Source organism: Homo sapiens, chromosome 10, assembly GCF_000001405.40.
Source record: "Homo sapiens chromosome 10, GRCh38.p14 Primary Assembly".
In the NCBI taxonomy this organism is placed as follows: Eukaryota; Metazoa; Chordata; class Mammalia; order Primates; family Hominidae; genus Homo; species Homo sapiens.
This window is the reverse complement of record NC_000010.11, coordinates 96,392,219-96,412,723: the sequence shown is the minus strand read 5'-3', so window position 1 is coordinate 96,412,723 and position 20,505 is coordinate 96,392,219. Positions and strand designations below refer to the sequence as shown.

The following is a 20,505-nucleotide window of genomic DNA, read 5'->3' as shown; positions in this document are numbered from 1 at the left end:
GGTGGAGGGAGTCTCAGTGCTATTAATGAGCTTGTTGCTTTGGTCTTGGGGCTTTCCTGGCCATCCTAGGTGCTGGTCAGTGGCCAGGAGTCTGCCATTGAAGATGGGACAATACTGGGATTGGAGCAAATGCCTGTTCCCTGGCCCGTTTGGAAGTGTTCCTTCCCCTTGGATTTGTCCCGTTTGTCTTCCATCCCCTTGGCTTCAGCATCATCATCATACACACACCGTCTGAGCTCTTCTAGACCCCTTTCAGCTCTTGAGCCTCAATGTAAAGCACTGGTTAGGGCAGCTGAGTTTTTAGTACTGATGGATCAGAATCCATTTCAGTGGTTTTAGGAGGATAGAAGGAAGTTCCATTACCAATAGCCTTTCCCAGACTTCCAAACCAGACACAGAGTTTGATCATGGGATGAAGTATTTGAAGTGAGGACCGTCTTAGAAAATCTGGGCTGTCACATTACCTTACTAAGCAGGACCCGAGGGATGCAAAGGGCTGCGTGGGGCTTGCTTCCTCAAGAAACTTTAGAAAATATGTCCGTCCAGCTATTAGTCATCTGGGGGCGTGTTAGGGCTGAAATACAGGACACACATATCATATAACCTTGCTGAATTGAACGGGAAACCTTATAGCATACCCTGGGAAATGCCATCATATTTATTCAGTTATAACATTTATGCTGCTCACTTCCCAAAAGGATTCAAAGCAAAATACTGTGGAGCCACATAGTAATGTATCTGTTCTTGCAGAATGTTGATGATTATTCTAAAATAATTTCCATGGAACCCTTGGGGGTGTTGACTGCCAGGCATAATCCTCATGATGCCTGGCAGTTGTTCAGTAATGTGATATTGAAGCCCCGACATCCAGGATTTCCTGAGGCCGATAATGGGCAGTTCTCCACATATCCCTTCCTGCAGCTCCAAAAAATGTGGAGCTTCCAGTAGTTCCGAGCAGTAACTGAAAGCTCAGTCAGTCGCCATGCAGAGGTTGAACTGCATGTAAGGAAAAGATGCCTAAGGATGCTGGATCTCCACATGTTAGGGTTGGCCACATAAGAGGAGGGGCTCTCAGCAAACCAGTGTCTTTGTCTTTGGAGTCTGAATCCCCAGGCATTAGAGAAATACAAAACCTGTAGTTTCCAAGGATTCATACAGGTACCCTTCATTTGTGAGGACAAATTAGGGGAAATACTTTTCACATACATAAAGACTAGGTTCTAGACTCATAACCAACCCTCAAACATTCAAGGGCAGAATAGCCTGCTATAGAAGATTCCAGCTCCCTGTGCCTCTGCATTTTTTTGTTTTCTTGACTGCTTTATAGTTCTTTCAGAAGTGAGTAGCAGAAAAGGAAGAGGAAAGATTTAAACTAACAGCTGAAATAAGTTTCAAAGCATTTTTTTCTTTTTGTCTTACCTACTTCCACTTTTTTTTTTTTTTTTTTTTTTTTTTTTTTTTTTTTTGAGACAGAGTCTCACTCTGTCACCCAGACTGGAGACTGGAGTGCAGTAGTGCAATCTTGGCTCACTGCACTCTCCACCTCCCAGCCTCCCAGGCTCAAGCGATTCTTCTGCCTCAGCCTCCCAAGTAGCTGGGATTACAGGTGCACGCCACTACCACCCAGCTAATTTTTGTATTTTTAGTAGAGATGGGGTTTCCCCATGTTGGCCAGGCTGGTCTCGAACTCCTGACCTCAAATGACCCACCCGCCTTGGCCTCCCAAAGTGCTGAGATTACAGGCGTGAGCCACCACGCCTGGCCTCTACTTGCATTTTCATGTTCTCTCTGCCACCGATATTATTATTAGCAATAATAATGGCATTATATATGAAGCACTCACTACGTGCCAAGCACTGAGCTGATCCATTTCATGTAATGCACACGATTTCACTAACCCTCTCAGGTAGGTCCTGCCCATCTTACAGATAAGAAAACTAAGGTCCAGCAAGTCTAGGAAACTTGCCCAAGCCACACAGCTGGCCAGAGAGCTAAGATTCATGACCTCTAGGCCATGCTCAGTCCTGAGAGCCTCAGAAGAAATTCCTGGGCGTTCCTTTTTGACTCCTAGGTCCTACTTGTGCTTTTGTTAGCCAGAAAACATCAATCTGCTTGCTACACTTCTCACCAACCTGTTCCGAGGGCTTTGGCTGGCAAAGGGGTATGTTTGCTCCGCTGCCCCGTGCGGGAGCTGCTTGGGCGGGGAGAGGTGCATATGCCACATCACAGTTGTGATTTTGCTTGTGCAGCGTGTGGGGAGACCCTGCAGGACACAACGGGAAACTTTTCTGCACCTGGTTTCCCAAATGGGTACCCATCTTACTCCCACTGCGTCTGGAGGATCTCGGTCACCCCAGGGGAAAAGGTAGGTGGGAAGCCCCCTTGGCAAATGGGACGGCACTCCTTGAGTTGGGTGAGGTGGGAGGAGTTCTTATTGTTAATAGTAAAAATAACAGCTGTTCGGTTATAAGCACCCACTGTATGCCAGGCATGGTGCTGTTTGCTGTACGTTCATTATTTCTGGACTTCTCAACCAGTCTCACCCACACAAATGAAGGCTGGCATGTACTAAATATCTGCTGAGTTATAAATCAAGCTCACAGTTCCTTCCAACCTTAACAAATACACTATTATAATATCCTAGAATTTAGAATTCTGTGACACCTCGGATTGCTGCTCTGGAAGATGGTGACACGGGGAGCCAGCCCACAGCTGGCTATTCTTCCCCCCAGCCTCCGTCTCAGCATTTGGGGCTTAAAGAACATCCCTGTTGACACCCCAGCCCACTTCCCTAAGCATCTTACACTCCTCTTTTGCAAACAGCCACTCCTTGGCTGCCCCTCCAGCGGGATGGACTGGCCAGGCATGCAGTCTATACTCAAGAAGATGGATCCAGGGCAGAGGCCCTTGCATGTCCTGGCAATGGGCTCAGAGCTGTGTGGACAGGGAATTCCTGGATTCCTGGAGTGTGGCGTAGGACCTGGGCAAGCTCTGGGTGGACACATCCCTTTAGTCTTGAAGATTCCGTGACCCCCTAGAGCTGAGCCCAGGGCAAGGATCTCTTTCACTCTGGTCCAAGGGTGGTATGTTTTCAACCCTACTGCAGGGCACGTACTGTTATATCCATTATCTGGATAAGGAATTTGAGGCTTGAACATTAAGGAAAGTGCCAAAAGTCAAGGTAAGATATAGAACTAGAAACTGAGAACTGAGGTTTTGCTCTCCAAAGCTTATCTTTTTGCTACATGTCTCTACAAATCTGAGTGTTCTTCAAGTTGCCTCAGACTAGATGCAACTATCTTAGAGAAACCCTGTTCCCTAGGTCTAGGTTAGGGGATACCCCCAGTGTCCCCAGAGCTCTCTATAATTATACCTGTTATAGCATGTCTCACGGTATAGTCACTACTGGTTTATTTGACCCCCTTCTAAATCTTAAGCTCATTAAGGTTGGAGATCATTCAGCCCCAGGGCCCCAGCACTCCACACAGTCTGTGGCACAGAATGGTCACCTGACAAGTATTTGTTGAATGGATATGTGGATGGATGAGGGGCTGAGTGAAAAACCTGCAGCTAGGGGTGGCAGTGGGGTGTGATGGAATTTTTCAGGCACCTGTAGCCAACCTTCAGGTATTTCTAATTTATAACTTTTTAAAATGTCCATCTAAATGTCAAGTTAAGCATAGTGTGCTAACTAGAGACAAATGACTAGGAACCATTGTGAGCATTTTCTGTAGACTGGATACTATCCTTAGCATATCATGTGGATCATCTAATTTAGTCCTCTCATCAACTTTGTGAAATAGGTGCTGTTGCCATACTTATTTACAGGTAAGGAATTGGACTTGCCCAAGGCTTCTAAGTTTGTTGCAGAGTTGGGATTTGAACCCAGGCAATTGGACTCTGACAGCCTGAATGCTTGACTGTCATCTTATATTATTACACAAAGGGGCCAGGCTAGTAGATAGACATTTTAACGTGCATTTATATACATACATGAATGCACATGTGTGGGCACACATGTATACATCCTTCCTTTGGCTCTAAGCATTTAAGACATTAAGTATGGCTGTCATCTTGTATCTGAGATCCCAGACCTGTCTGCCTTGGGTAGATGTGAAATCCATGTGCCTGCTGGAGGCTAACAGGAGGGAGGCAGAAAGGGGGAAGAGGAAGAGGTCTGGTAATTTCTAAATTATTGAATTGCTCTGCACAGCAGAGGGTGTGTGATATGTTTGAACTGTGTAAACTTCATCAAGCCTTAATTATTAGTGCTAACTGGGGACAGAGAGAATATACATCATTGAAATTTCTGCACCAATTATTTCCATTTCTGCTTCACCCAGCTTTCCCCAGAGCTGCAAGTAATTAGCAAACTTGATTGATTCGAGTATCACCTCTTGTTCACCACCTCTTTCCCCTATGGTCTTTATGGTTCACTAATGTACTTAAAATAATTAGCCTGAATAATTATCCCATTCATTCAGATCATGAATGTGTTACCAAGGAAGTTGTACTAACATTTCCTTTCTGTAATTTTAAAAAAGCAAAGGCTAAAGAATTATTGTGCAACCAGCTTACAGGTGTTACTAAGCTCTACCACCTGAATATGAGCACGGTGTGGGATAGGACAGAAATCTAAGGCACACCCCTGTCTTAAGACTGTTTATTTTGGGTCCCCCTCCCCCCACTCCCAGGGAATCTGATTTAATGGAAGGAAGGGTGTTTGCTTGGTATGAGCTTTTTCAAAGCTTCAAAGTTGATTTTAATGTGCAAGTAGGGTCGAAAAACACAGTCTAGTTTGAAAGAGGAGTGACAGCGTGCGCACACACATGCACACACACGCACACACGTGTGCGCACACACATGCATGCACATGCTCACACATGCATGCACCCACGCGTGCGCGCACACACACTCAATGACAGAAGGTGAGCTGACCTGTTTTTTCCTGGCACTGACTTCGTTTCCTAGGAGATCGCAGGGCTTTGTGGAAGATGTGATTTGTCCTGAGACGAAACATTGGGTGGGATGGGCCCAAGGGAAGGGATGGGCACTCAACACTAATCAAGATGGGCAGCTTGCGAGGTGTGGTTAGTGTTAGTTGTGGTATGCTAAGTGTACACTCAATGTGGACTACCTGGTATTTTAAGTTGCTATTTATCGAGTGCCTATGGTGTGCCAGGCATAGCAATATACACTCTATATATGGTTTCTCGCACAGTCCCCTCAATAGCACAGTGATGTGTGTATTGTGTTACAGATGAGGAAACTAGAGGGCAAGTATTTCCCCAAGACTCCAGAGCTAGTAGATGGAGCTGAGAAGCAAATCCAGATCTAGGTAGATCTAAAGACACCGGCTCTAGAATCATTATAAGACAGAGGGTGGGGCGTTCCAAAGAGGCAAAGATCAATCGTGTTCATCAGGGCAATCAGACACAGGCTCGAGGAGGGGGACACTTGAGCAGGCCTGGGAAGGGTTTCTCTGACATGGGACTGTCAGGGAACACTGGGAAACAGGTTGCACAGGACAGGCTCTGGGGGTGTGGAAAGTAAGCAGAATTTAATTCATGAGATGGGGGCACAGAGAGCCACTGAGGTTTCCTGAGGGGTTTGGTCAACATGATATATGGGTGGAAGATTGGGAGGGGTCTGGTAAACATGAGATATGAGTGGAATATTGATCTAGAAGCCCCAGTGTGTAGAAAAAATGGGGCCACAGCAGGGAGGAGTCCAGGAATCGTGTGGGAGCAATCCAGGAGGGGGTGAGGCAGGAGGAGCGAGATGGGGTTAGAGGGGAGGGATGCGGATATCTTAAAAAGAGCTGCAGCATGGATGCTGAACAGATATGGGGGATCAACAGTAAGGATGAAGGAAAGATAATACCAAAGCTTGGCTCCTTGACCATCGGGGCAATGGCATCTCCTACAGTGGAGGAGGCTGGAAAGGAAATGCTTTGTTTGGAGGTGCTCTCACCTAGTAGGGAGCGGGAAGGGCAGAGGAGCAAGAGCAGTGGGGAGAAGATAGGCCAGTGTGGTGAAAACCAGAAAGGATAAGCTCTGGGCAGAGGGGTCATGGGGCACAAGGCCAAATAACAGTCCTTTAGATTTGGTGGGGAGGGAATGGGAACCTTTGAGGAAGCCTTCCAGCCTAAGGGTTTACTTAGAGCTAGAGGGCCCCTGGGGCTGTTTGAATATAAAGAAGTGGCTAGTGGAGGGGCAGTGAGTGGAGATGCTGGAGAGAGAGGAACTGCTGAGAGCAAAGTCCTCCGGGGTTGGAAAACGAATAGAGTCAGGGGTGCAGGGGCTGGGTCAGGGCTGGAGATGAGGAAGAGTGGAGACGTGATGGAGCAGGTGTGTGGGGCATGAGGAAAGGTGAGCCTGGGCCAGACAAGCCACTGCACCTCAGGACAGTGGGAGGAGCCACAGGCACCTGGTTTAGTGGAACTTGCGTGGGGGTGAAAGGCCAGGGGAAATCTGAACTCTGCTCTGGGCCATCTGCCAGGGGAGCCCCGAGCTGGTGGGCTGCAGGGGGACCAGAGCCAGTTCACAGGTACAGCACCTGTGTGCTGAGGCCCAGCCCCTGGGACCACCCAGCCCTCCCCTTCCCCCTACTAAGTAGTCACCTATTTGGCCATGGGAGCATCCACTACCTGACCTCAGGGATGTCCAGACAGGGCTGCCAAGATGCTCCTCATGACAATCCCTCTCTTTTCAGTGTTTATACCATAGTGTTCTCATTGGCTTGGCCCATCTGCCTTTCCCCCCTTCTCTGGGCTCCCCAAGGGCAAAGGACCCTGTCTTACTGATCTTTCTATCTCAATTGGCCAGCACAGGCTGACACTCAGAAGGTGGTCAACAAACAATGGTGGAGTGAATGAAAGAATGGACTAACTGTAGGAAGGTCATTAGACACACCACACCTCAGGAGAGTGAGGTCATGGCTGAGGGGAGGTTGATCGCAGAGATGTTCAGATGCACTCGGGCTAACCCCAGACCCTTTGGAATGATTGATGATGTTATAAGATCTTCTTGTATCTCTGAACTTCGCTGACCCCTTACCTCCTTCCAAATCCTCCGTCTCCATGCGCCCTGGCCAGTCTTTTTAATGCATCTCGCTTTCTGTAAACCACCTAGTGACTTCAAAAGCTCAAGTGATTCCCCAGACAGAACCGAAGGACCCATCTCCTTCTGTTTACTCCCCATCCTGCTTAAGGTTTATTATTTAATGTCCTTAGGTTTCCTGTGAGCATGCTTTTGAGACAACACTCCTACCGTGGTCTGAAAGTTCTGCATGCTAAAGGGTAACGTGAGAACACCAGTATGCAAGATATATCTTCCCAAACTCCTCAGGCTTTGCTGCCAAAACTCACTTTATGGTAATTCTTTACAGATCGTATTAAACTTCACATCCATGGATTTGTTTAAAAGCCGACTGTGCTGGTATGATTACGTGGAGGTCCGGGATGGTTACTGGAGAAAAGCCCCCCTTTTGGGTAAGTTGACTTTAGACACCGTTAAGAGAGGAGTGATGGGATGTTCCCCGGGATGCTGTTAATGTCTGGAAGGTCCACCTTGACAGCGGTCACAGGAAACTCTCAAGGGCCTCTGTCATTGTAAAACTCTGAGCACTCCATTTGGCCACACATGTTAAAAGCTTTTAAAACTGCGAATACCCTTTGACCCAGCAATTCCACTTTTTGGAATTCATCCTAGGGAACTAATTAAGGAAGTGTGCAAAGCTCTAGCTACAGGGATGTTCACTGAAGCAGGAAAAATTGCAAGCAATTTAAATGTTCAACAGTAGGGTTTGGCTGAATAAATTATGATCCATCTTTTTAATGGAAAACTTCCCAGCCATTAAAAATGAAGTTGTAGTTGACTACTGATATGGAAAGGTGTTCATGGTACACTGTTACACACAAAAAAGTATGTGACAAAAATAGAATAAGCAGTAGGATTCCATTTTGATTAAAAAATACATTTATGCATTTTATATATATATATATAATGCAGGCATTGCAAATGTAGATGGCTTCAAGGATAACATGTAAATGAAGGAGATGGGATTTGTGTAATAAAATAAGGAGTGGTGGGGGGAGTGTGGTGAACTGAACACCAAATATCGTGTCCAAAATTATTCAAACCAAAATGACTTAAAACATGTGTACAGGCTGAATTAACTAGAAGACACCACTTTGTGATCTGCAATATAAATCTCAAGTAAAATTATAAATATACATAAATAACACACTGGTTATTTCAGGGTGATAGAGTATTTTTTAAATGTATTCTGTTGTTCTTGGTTTAGCTATATTTTCCAGTTTTTCTATGATGAGCGTGTATTGTTTTGGTGAGATGAACAGGGCATGAACTCACCCATGGAAAGTTAGCTTAGAGCTTTGAGTGAGACACAGTGGGCAGGTGGTGTAACAAGAAAGCTTAGTTCACCCCAGAGATGAAGGGGTGGCCTGCCCCTCCACACCTGTGGGTATTTCTAGTCAGGTGGGATGAGAGACTGAGAAAAGAAATAAGACACAGAGACAAAGTATAGAGAAACAACAGTGGGCCCAGGGGACCGGCACTCAGCACACCAAGGACCTGCATCGGCACCGGTCTCTGAGTTCACTCAGTTTTTATTGATTATTATTTTCATTATTTCAGCAAAAAGGAATGTAGTAGGAGAGCAGGGTGATAATAAGGAGAAGGTCAGCAACAAACATGTGAGCAAAAGAATCTATGTCATAATTAAGTTCAAGGGAAGGTACTATGCCTGGATGTGCACGTAGGCCAGATTTATGTTTCTCTCCACCCAAATATCTCAGTGGAGTAAAGAATAACAAGGCAGCATTGCTGCAAACATATCTTGCCTCCCACCACAGGGCAGTTTTTCTCCTATCTCAGAATTGAACAAATGTACAATCGGGTTTTATACCGAGACATTCAGTTCCCAGGGGCAGGCAGGGGACAGTGGTCTTCCTCTATCTCAACTGCAAGAGGCTTTCCTCTTTTACTAATCCACCTCAGCACAGACCCTTTACGGGTGTCGGGCTGGGGGACGGTCAGGTCTTTCTCATCCCACGAGGCCATATTTCAGACTATCACATGGGGAGACAATACCCCGCTTTCAAGGGCAGAGGTGCACTGTGCCCTTGGTTTATTGAGACTAGAGAATGGCGATGACTTTTACCAAGTATACTGCTTGTAAACATTTTGTTAACAAGGCATGTCCTGCGCAGCCCTAGATCCCTTAAACCTCGATTTCATACAACACATGTTTTTGTGAGCTCCAGGTTGGGTCAAAGTAGCTGGGGCAAAGTGTCTGGGGCAAAGCTACAAATTAACAACATCTCAGCAAAGCAATTGTTTAAAGTACAGGTCTTTTCCAAAATGGAGTCTCTTATGTCTTCCCTTTCTACATAGACACAGTAACAGTCTGATCTCTCTTTCTTTTCCCTACATCTCTCGTGGATGACAGGGGAGGTTAGCCTTGCCTAGAGGACCAGTGGCTGCAGTGTCTCGGGAGTAGACACTAGGACTCATTCAGCCCAGGAATGGCAGCCGTGGTGGAGCTGGTGAGACAGGCAGAAGTGACCAGGAGCCAGATGGGAGGGTCTCAGCTGAGAGTGTATTGTCCTCACTCGTAGAGGGGTCTGTAGGGTGGGCTCTGGCTTGGACAAGTCTAAGCGCTCAGTGAGGACTTTGTCCTTGGCACATATTCATGTGAGCAGAAAGCCCAACTTGTTATGCTGCAACTGACGAGCCTGAGAGTGAGCTGGTATCGGGTGGTTGGCCAAGATGGAGATAGGAAAGAAGGGAGAGGGCTAAACTGTGGGGTGTCACTGCTAGACCGAGCCCTGACTTCATGCCAGATTCTGGGGAGCCAAGGCTGAGGTAGGTCAGAAGAGGCTGGACAGAGGGGTTGGCTGGACTCAAGGTAGCCTGGCAGACATTAATCTTTCGTATGACTGAGGGGTCCCAGGCTGCCGGCATTAGAAGAAGTCAGTCAGGTAGTCAGCTGTCCAGGTAGACAAGCGAAGAAAGTGATCCCCAGGCCAAGTACGGACAGGAGCACGTCTACTGCAGGACCAGTGGAGTCCGCCCCACAGTGGCAGGGCGGAGGATGCCTGCCTGGATTTCTGTTTCCTGCCTACTATGAGCAGGCATGGCGCTCTCTAGCAGCCAGAAGGAGGGTCTGGCTTTACAGGTAGCACTGTTTGCTTGTGGCAAAAGACAGAGGGCTGGATTCCCAGTAGCAGAGGTTCCCAAACCTGGCTGGACATCAGAACCTCCTGGGAAGATTTCTATGAATACAGATTCCTGGGAGACCGTGAATTGGAATCCCCACAAATTGGGTCAGAGAATGATCCTATTTACCTTTATATAAAAGGGCATGTGCCCAAATCTAGTACCACAAATGTAGAAAGGACCACAAATATGCCCATCTAACTGCTGAAGGTGATTACCTCTGAGGAAGGAAGCGCGGAGGTGGTGGGCAGCTTCAAATTTTGTTTTGTATACTTCTCCATTGTTTGAATCTTTTGTAAGAACACATTCAGGTATCATTCTATAATGAAATAATAAAAAGAGCTATGTGGGAGGAGTTTCGTGAGAACATCGGATCACAGACCCTGCAACCTGGCAGAGACATTACAGTCACTTAATCCCACACTTTTATGAGAAAACCAAGCTCCCCAAGTGTGGACTAACTCAAAGTCCACACAGTTAGTGGCTGAGATCAGACCAGAATTCTGATGTCCTGGTGAAGGGGAGAGGTGACTGCTGAACCCAAGGGGTGCCAGATAAAATACATTATTTGTTGTTTATCCGAAATTCAAATGTACTGGGCTTCCTTGAGTTTTGTTTGCTAAATCTGGCAACTCTCTACCCCCACCTCCCAGGAATGGGATAGATTTAAAGGCTTAAGAGGAGGAAGCTGTCTGTTACTGAAGTTCCCCAGAGAGGGCCAAGGCACGTTCCTGAGAATGGGCACAGGCAGAGAGATTTCCAGGAGTTCCTTTTTCTTGAATTTGAAACAAGATTTTCTCATTATAGATCCTGGTATTTGTGGCTACATTTCATTAATGAATTGGGACTTTTGCCATTTGTTGGTGGTGGTGATGGTTTTTGTTTTGTTTTGTTTTTTGTTTTGAGGTTTTTTTTTTTTGGCTCATATTTTACCCACTTTAACTGTGTGTGTGCGTGTGTGTGTGTGTGTGTGTGTAGAGTGCCAGCGCCTGTAACCGTCATTCTTCATTTGCAGTTCTCCTTTGCCAACTATTTGGCCTGCTCTGATGTTTCCAAATGCAGTTGTTAGTGAACTTTTGTGTTTGGAACAAGTGCATTGTGTCGGCCGAGCTGGTCCCTGGGAGGGGTCAGTGCCATGAAATCTGCTGGGAGGAGGCAGGTCAATGCCCCTTTGGCAGGAGGGAGAGCGGATTAGGGTGGATTGTGAAAGTACGCATCTTGCTCTGAAAACTGTGCATCGCATTTTTTCCCAGGGCAGTGTGTGAAAATCCAGGCATAATGGACGCATAACTTTTTATGAATGAACCCTTTATGACTCCCCATGGAGCCCACTTGTAGTGTCCTCATCTGCATTTCCTCTTCTTGATATCCTTATTAAACTCCTCCTCTAAATCCAGGAACCGGATTTCAGTGCAGGAATCTGACACCTTTTCTCTAGTCCAGTTTCTCTCCAGCCTGCTTAGTCTCCTTGGAAGGAGGCTATTTTTCGACACCCAGGTTTTCACCTAGTGATTAAAGGGAAAAGTCAATTGAGAACATTTCATGGCTGGTTAAAGATATCAAATTGGTTTGTCAGTTTTGGGGGTCACTTATGATATTGCACCTAAAGAGGGGAGGAAGTTGGCTGCAGAGAGAGCTCATCCAGTGATCTTAAATTCTGTCCTGTAAATTGGATTCCCTCCCTTATTTCTGTTAGAGGAATTACTCTAACAATGCACTTTTGTATGCAGAACTGTCTTTGGGCATTCTGTATCACCACAATGCACACAAAAGCCCTTTTTCCCTCTTTCCCTGAAATAGGGAGAGGGAAGTTCAGAAAGGCCAGGCTGGCCGATCAGTGTCGTGTGGCCCGGCTACTCAGGCTCCCTAGCCAGGGGCAGCCTCCCAAATGAGCAGAAATGATGCAGTGAGTCAAACAGCCAAGACTGGCATTTCCACAGAATTGCTTTATGGTTTGAGGCTTTGATCTTCATTCCTACTTGTCTGTTTCCAAACTGGGAAATGGGGATGACATCTACATTACTAGAGAGTAGATTTGATGTCTATCTATCCAAAATTGTACAATGTTCAGAACTGTGCCTCAGTCAGTGAAGGTTTTGTTTTTTTTTTTTTTTTTTTTTTTGATGGTAGTAGTGGTGATGATGAAGAAAGTGATACTGATGATGAAGGTCTCAGACTGCTCTGGTTCAAATCCTGCTCTTACTTACAGCTTTGAGAGTTAAATTCTCTGACTCTCAGTTTTCTCGTCTGTGAAGTGGGATTAATAATAGTACCTAATTCAGAGAGTATTGGGATGAAATGAGATAATCCATGTAAAGTGCTTAGGACAGTGTCTGGCATAGACATAGTCAATAAAAAAGGGGCTTTTATTAGAACCATTATGGTGAAGATGAGAACACTGAGACATCAGTTAAGGGACAAAGTAGAGGATTCTAGTTAAGAGTGACAAAGTGATTTGGGGAGAGTGCTTAGGAATAATTTGTAATTTGTTCTACGAAGTCTAGTTTTGCCAAGGCAGTAAAATATACCTCAGGCTGCAATTCCTGCCTCCTGCCGAGTACTCAGCAGAGACAGGCTGTCTAATGGCCCTTGGGTGGTGCGTGGTTCATCTCATCTGCTTAGGTCCTTAGGAGACGAGGCAGTGAAAGTCTCCCTCTCTTTTGGAAACAAGCCTCAGTGGCTGTGACAGCTGGGTTTTAAAAGGAGAAACTTGGATTTGAAACTTGGGCTAGGCTAAGAAGGAATTCCTTTTGTGAACCGGCACTGTCTAATTGCTCCGTGTCCTCATTGGTAAGCAGTACTTCCCCAGGCTTGCCTGTCATTTTCCAAAAATCACTTGACACTAATTGGCCGTGCCAGAGAAACCATTACTGAAAATTTAAAGGCTTCTGGTGGATTTTTTCTTGCCAAATTCTTGGCAGGAGTTTCATCTCATCTCACTTAATATTAATCTCCCCAATTCCAAAAGGCTACAGGTGGTCAGAATTGGAAGGAAGCAGAGGAGATTAACAGCCTTTACCCCCATGTTTCCCCAAACCATGTACAACACAGCTGGCCCTTAGGAGATGCCTACAGTGGCCTTTACTCCTCCCCTAACCTCACCTGCTCATAGCCTCACGTGGTTTGTCCACTGCCTAACATAGCACTGGCAGTAAGAGTACCCGTGACATATCTGTGAATTGGACTTTAAAAAAATATTCAGATATAATTTCTGGACCATACAATTCACCATTTAAAGTATACCAGTCAATGGTTTTTAGCATGCTCAGAGTTGTGTCACCACAATCAATTTTAGAATATTTTCATCACAGCCAGGCGCGGTGGCTCATGCCTGTAAACCCAGCACTTTGGGAAGCTGAGGCGGGCAGATCATGAGGTCAGGAGATTGAGACCATCCTGGCTAACACGGTGAAACCCCATCTCTACTAAAAATATAAAAAATTAGCTGGGCATGGTGGCACGTGCCTGTAGTCCCAGCTACTTGGGAGGGTGAGGCAGGAGAATCCCTTGAACCTGGGAGGCAGAGGCTGCAGTGAGCTGAGATCACGCCATTGTGTTCCAGCCTGGGTGACAGAGCAAGACTCTGTCTCAAAAAAAAAAAAAAAAAAAAAGAATATTTTCATCACTCCAAAAGAAGACCCATATTCATTAGCAGCCACTTCCCATTCCCCATTGCCCCCCAAAGCTAAATACATTCTCCAAGTGACTCATGCAATAGGTGCTTGGTAGAACCATGGTCTTCCAGTCCAAATAGACCGTGGCTGGCCTGTGTTCTGAACCATTCAGTAAAGATGAACCCATCTCCCACCTCGCCCTGGGCTGCCATCCTGACGTGGCAGTAGGGATTAGATGGCCAAGAATGACCAGGTACTGGGAAGACCAGGCCTCTGTGGAGGCTCCAGATTTCAGACCATGCACCCAAGTGTCTAAGAAAATACAAATGTATTAATTTTTTTTCTCGATAACAAAAGTTTGTCTATGATGATCCCCCTTTCCATCAGGTAGTAGGGACTTGATTTTGGTCAATTTGTGTTTTCAGTTTTGGTCAATTTGTATGTCCTGGTTGGGGGCATAGTTTATGCCAAGGCATGGTGGTGGCGGGGGGCATCTATCCTGCCACCCTGACTGGCATTGCTGGGATGTTCTCATCCCTAACCAATGAGTCCTCTATCCAGATACAGGCTACTGGGCTTCCTCCTTTTATCAACCCTAGGCCAGTTCAGAATGGTGCAGGTCTACATTCCCCTAGAAGCTTGGGAGACATTCTATGGCTCCCCTAATCCTCTCAGCTGTGGGAAAGTCACTTCCATCCCCCTCTTGGGCCTGGAATCATGTTGCTGCCATCCTGCCACACTTTGCCTGAAGAGCTCTGCATGCCTGTCTCAGGGCCAAATGTCTGGACAATCACATAGACACTTCTATGCTGACCTTGGCGGGTGGGCACAACAGGGGAATCCAGGGTCTTGCTGCCACTCTGGACTCTGCCCAAGGACTGAGGACACAGTTTTCTGCTTCTCTTAGATTCTTAAACCTACCTGGGATCTCTTTCTCAAGGTGAGATGGGGAATGGGTCCTTTTAGGGGCTCCCTGCTGCTCTCCCGCTAGTCCTGTCACTCCTCCATCCTAGGAACCCTCCTACGGCTACCAGGATGGGGAAAATATGGTGCATCCTTCCAAATCTTTGCTATTGCAACTAGGCTTGTGAAATGTAAACGCCAAGATGGTTTTATTTCTTTGCTGTGTTTTCCCTGGCATCCCTTCCCAAGTCAAGGAAAGCAGATGTCTAATGCCCCCAAAAGGGAAGGGTATACATGCAACAGGAAACACCAGGAAAGGAAATCTGCTCTATTCTCTCACCATTCTTCCCCTGCCTCACCTTCAGAGCCTCAGCAACACCCCTCGGCAGGGGAGAGGCTGCCTGGGCTCTTCTCTGGATACTTTGATGGGAATTTGGAATTCTCCTGAAGTCAGCCTGAAAAAGAATTAAGTCACACATTATTGTGTGACTCTTCCAATCCCATCTTTTGATCCTGTGTGTGCTACAGGATAAGTTGTCCCAGCCAGGGTTATTGCTCACTTCAAACCACGTGTGAAGAACCTCAGCTTCCTCCTAGCCTGAAGCCAGTGCCTTCTTGCTGTCCCCAGGGCTCCTAACTGCTTCTTTTTCCACTTTCCAGGCAGGTTTTGTGGCGATAAGATCCCGGAGCCCCTCGTCTCCACGGACAGCCGGCTCTGGGTGGAGTTCCGCAGCAGCAGCAACATCTTGGGCAAGGGCTTCTTTGCAGCGTACGAAGGTTTGTGCGAGGTGAAAGCAGCTGCTCGGTGGCCCCTCATAAGCTCTGTCCTTCCCAGGCAGCCCACTGTCCCTCTCCCAGCCCAGACACTCCAGGCCAGAGCCACAGGGGTGGGGGCAGCCACCACAGGGGGCAAGCTGAGGATTCCACAGCCCCTCCTGCAACATTCTGGAAGCAGAGGCCAGCTGTGCCCACTTCAGAAGTAGTGCCATCCTTCTGACGCCATCCCACTCAACCCTCATTCCAGGCCAGCTGAGGAGTCGGCTTCCCCCATACAGGACGGTATTGGGGGGATCTAGAACCCTGTGGAAATGATAGCAGCCTCTGAATTGCTGTGTGAGCCTAAGCAAAGAATCTGACCTCTCTAGGCCTCTGTTTGTTTCCTTTGTGAAAAGAAGACTTTGGGCAACATCAAGGAATTTCCAACTGCGTTTCTTAGAAGGGCCTCTGAGGCTACCCTGGTGGCTGAGTAGAGGGAACCAATAGGTCTGGGCTCTAGGCAGCTGCCACCAGGTGATGGTGCTTCTATTTCTTCTATGTCTTGAGCTTCTCTGGCTCATTCCCCACCCCACCGTACCCTCTACCAAAAAAAAAAAAAAAAAAAGAAAGGGGAAAACTACCAGAAAATTACCAAGGGTCCTTTGGCCTTACATTACCAAGGGTCCTTCGGCCTTAAATTATTACAATTTTAGAGAGGCCAAAGTTTTGTCTTTGTAAAATAAGTAATGTGCATGTGTGCGCATGTGTGCACGTGTGCGCGCACGGGTCCTTTCCTACCAGCGGTCCTGTACTCTCTACCTTGAATCACCTGGGGAACTTCACGGCTACGCAGCGCTCCCCAACACCCACTGGAATCAGAACCTCTGGGGAGTGTGGCCCCAGCTTCCACAGTTTGCAAACTCCCTCAGGCGATTTTGATGCACAGCGAAGTTAGAGAACCACTGCTTTATGTGGTTTTTTCTTTATATGAAAAAAATTCAGAGTTAAAGACAAATGCAATCGTGCCTTTCTGGAGGCGCGGTGTTTGTGGGCTGGAGATGAAAATGTTGGTGAGCGGAGCCACCTAGTGGTGGCAAGCGCTGTTCCCCCCGCCTCCCCAACCTTCCTTCCTAAGTAAGATCTGACCAGGGCCCCCGTCTTCCTCTCCTGATGTCTCTTTCTAAAGCTACCTGCGGGGGAGACATGAACAAAGATGCCGGTCAGATTCAATCTCCCAACTATCCGGATGACTACAGACCTTCCAAGGAATGTGTCTGGAGGATTACGGTTTCAGAGGGGTTTCACGTGGGACTTACCTTCCAAGCTTTTGAGGTGAGTGCTGCTCAGACCGGCTTCCCAAGGAAACGGCAACTTTTGCTAGACATCCTCCACTCTGTAAAGATGGGTTTTCATTTTTGGCTAAAAACAGGAACCTAAGAGGCTATTCTCAAGCCCATAGTGAATTGTGCCCGGACATCTGACATCAACATCTATGCAGGCTTTGAAATGGGGTTTGACACCTTTCTGAGGGCAGTAAGAGAGGTTGAGAATAATAATCAAAGTGAAAATTCAGGATGGGATCCAGGGAAGTTTGGTAGAATTGTTCTTCTCTATTTATCCTCTTAGACTCTTCTCAGTTTGATTCACCCTTGACTTCTGCAAGTAAGGAGTGAACTAGGAAGCAGCATGGAGAGACCTGGGACACACTTGGGTCCTTTGGCCTCTTGGTTAGATTTTGAGAGTGATATTTGGGTTCTCTTCTTAAATCAAAAACCTTAAAGCAGAACCATCTGCCATCCACCTTGCCTCTGTTTCTTCCTTTAGATTGAAAGGCACGACAGCTGTGCATATGACTACCTGGAAGTCCGGGATGGCCCCACGGAAGAGAGTGCCCTGATCGGCCACTTTTGTGGCTATGAGAAGCCGGAGGATGTGAAATCGAGCTCCAACAGACTGTGGATGAAGTTTGTGTCCGATGGCTCTATCAATAAAGCGGGCTTTGCAGCCAATTTTTTCAAGGGTATGAATTAGCAGTTTGTTTCCACTTTTAGGCACAAGAAGAAATATTGCTCCCCCTGGCCTAAGACACACAAAACCATATGGAAGCTTACCACCAAACAAGGCTCCCTGCAGAGAAAAGGCAGCGATGCATTTCAGAGCTGGGTGTGAGCCCCCAGCAGAGTTCCCAACTGATCAGGAGCAGGCTCAGCCTTGGCTTCCACACGATAGAAAGTTCTGTACTTGGAAATTAGATCTAATAAGTTTACAAGGGCAAACTACACGGTAGTGAAACTGAGCATGGAATAACAGCAAATATTTGGATAGCAGCTATCATTAATTGATCACCTACTGTGTACCAAGAACTGTGTAAGGTACTTGACTTACATAATGTCATTTAATTCCCCAAATAACCCTGTGAGTTAGATTTGGATCAGGGCTGGGCAGGGCTTCTCAGGATCATGCAGGTAGTTAAGTGGCAGATCGGGGATCTAATTCAGTCGGCCTAATTCCTAAGCTCAAACTCTTTCTACAACATTGCTACTATTCCTTGATGTGGGCCAGAGAGGCAACCCAGGTGTTCAGCTCCTGGAACATCAGTGCCCCTAGACTACATGCTTACCCCCACATGATCGGGGTTGGGAGGAGAATAAGGGGTGGCACTCTGGGAACAAATTTCCGTGTTGCCCTGGGGACCTGCTGCTCTGTAGGGTCCTGATGGAACCAGGCCCAGAATGGCATGGGCAGACCGAGCTTTCCTGGCCCCAGAAGAGCCAGCTTCCAACCCTCCTTTGAACGGGCAGGTCCTCCTTCTCTGCTGTCAGGCCCCTGAAAGCCCTGAAGACCACACCCTAAGAGGGAAGCATGGCTGCTCCCCACTGCATTGGGCCTGGGCGCCCAGGAGCACAGCAGCAGCCCTTGAGTAGAGACATTCAGTCCTCTGCTGCTGTGGCCCCTTAATCAGTGACCCCACTTCCCCAGCCCCCCTACAACTTGTGCTTGCCCAGAGCCTGCTTTCTCCTCTTCCCTCCTCTCCTAGGACTCCTGGCTGAGCCAGCACAGAAATCCCAGTCCCTCCCTTGCTTCCATTCTCCTCTTCTGCCCCATCTTAGACCTTCTCCCAGGTTCTACGTGAACAGCCTGGGTGTCAAAAGAACCCACTTCTGCACTGTCACCCAGAGCAGGCAGCCATTCGTCCTTACTGAAGCTTCAGTTTTCCTCTCTGTAAAATAGGAAGAAGGACATCTGCCCATTGTACCTAAGCAATTGTTGTGAAGCCCCAAAGAAAGGACGGCTGTGGAGGCACTTAAAAGCTGGCAGGTGACAAACAAGGGGTGGGGCTGTTATTTTTTCCTATTTTGAGGTATCGGGGAAGAGCAAAACCCAAACAGCAGCAGAGGAGAATCATGATGGCGCTGAAGGATTGGAGACAAAACTGAGTTGCTTCTTTCTCAAGCCAAAAAAAAAAAGAAAAAAAAGAAAAAAAAAGCCAGGCCATAGCACTTGTATTTTGAAAGCAGGTCAGCTTCTGATTGCACAGGGAAGATATGACAGCCTTAGTTGAGATGCCTGGAAATTCACAGCCCCAATCCCACCCTGGCCCAGCCTGCACATGCCTGGTGTCTCCCAGCCTGGGGTGGCCCCTGTCTGACTTGGCAGCAGTGACACCGGCTGGGTGGCCTCAAGCAAGTTGCATGATTTCTCCAGTTGCACAGCTTCTGTTGCACAAGCTCCAGTCTCTCTACCTGGAGAGACAATGCTGCCAGGTGATTGCAAGGCTGTCATCAGGAGAAAATGGAATAGTGCAAGTCAATACACCGAGTGTAGTGTTTAGTCCCGTTCATTGTCTTTGCTAGGGAAGGAATCTTTGAAGTGGTTATTCTTTCTGGAAAAACCGATGCGACAATTTCTTCTGGCTATTGTGATGGACTGGTTTCCTATTCCTGCTGTAGCAATTTACCACAGGCTTGGTGGCTTAAAACAATGCACACTTATTATCCTACAGTTGTGGAGGTCAGAAGTCTAACATGGGTCTCACTGGGATAAAATCAAGGGGATGGCAGGGCTGCATTCCTTCTTGAGGTTCTAAGGGAGAATCTATTTCTTTGCCTTTTCCAGCTTCTAGGAGCTGCCTGAATTCCTTGGCTCATGGTCCCCTTCCATGGTCAAAGCCAGTAATGGCCAGTGTGTCATTCTCATGCCACATTCTCTCTGCTGCATCACAGACCTCTGCTCCGGTCAGCACATCTCCTCCTTCTGACCCTAACTTCCTTCCACCTCTTTGCCTTACACGGACCTGGTGTTGACATTGAGCCCACCCAGATAATCCAGGAGAATCTCCTCATCTCCAAGATCCTTCATTTAACCACACCTGCAGAGTCCTTCTTTCACCTAATTAAGATCCTTAATTTAACCACACTTGCAGAATCTTACATTAAGGTAACAGATTCACAGATTGTAGAGGCCAAGCTGTAGACAGCTTTGGAAGGCCTTATTCTGCCTACCACATGTCATGAATGATTATGAGGTTGTCATTCTAATTCTGTTTATTCCAGTCCCCTTGGCCTTCTCCTCCCCTGACTTCCACCCCAGGTTCTGTAAGCTGGGTGCTGGGGCTCCATTCCAGGGGGATAACTGGTAACCACTGACCATCCACACCTTACTGCTGGTGCTGCTGGTGATCAGCAATGCACAATTTTGAGAGTACCAGCTAAAGCTGGAGATTAGGCTTGTCAGGTTTAGGAAATTAAAAAAAAAAAAACAGGATGCCTAGTTACATTTGAACTTTAGATACAGAATGATTTTTTTTTAGTATGTGTCCCAAATATCACATACTGTGCTGAGAAGTGTTTGATGGTTTATCTGAAAGTCAAATTTAACTGGACCTCCTGATTTTTTTATGGAAAACTTACTGGAGATGCCAGTCAGGACAATGGAAGGTATTTCTCTGATGCTAAACTGGTTTGTAAGAGACCGAGGAAGTGCCTGGA

General features: G+C 47.0%; 1 protein-coding gene across 1 annotated transcript in view, besides 1 other annotated feature; it reads left to right on the top strand.

Moving 5' to 3' along the window:
• TLL2 (tolloid like 2) overlaps positions 1-20,505 on the top strand; it is a 149,319-nt gene that overhangs the window by 101,203 nt on the left and 27,611 nt on the right. The window contains exons 9-13 of the mRNA NM_012465.4: positions 2,250-2,365; positions 7,390-7,492; positions 15,422-15,538; positions 16,704-16,849; positions 17,342-17,537. Coding sequence (NP_036597.1) covers positions 2,250-2,365; positions 7,390-7,492; positions 15,422-15,538; positions 16,704-16,849; positions 17,342-17,537 — 678 coding nt within the window. The remainder of the gene's footprint in view (positions 1-2,249; positions 2,366-7,389; positions 7,493-15,421; positions 15,539-16,703; positions 16,850-17,341; positions 17,538-20,505) is intronic.
• Positions 15,082-15,610: an enhancer, noted in NCBI's record as "H3K27ac-H3K4me1 hESC enhancer chr10:98156871-98157399 (GRCh37/hg19 assembly coordinates)". NCBI's record gives its function as "activates a minimal SCP1, AML or CMV promoter by ChIP-STARR-seq in naive H9 embryonic stem cells {active_cell/tissue: H9 hESC(naive)}" and the evidence as "EXISTENCE:reporter gene assay evidence [ECO:0000049][PMID:30033119]".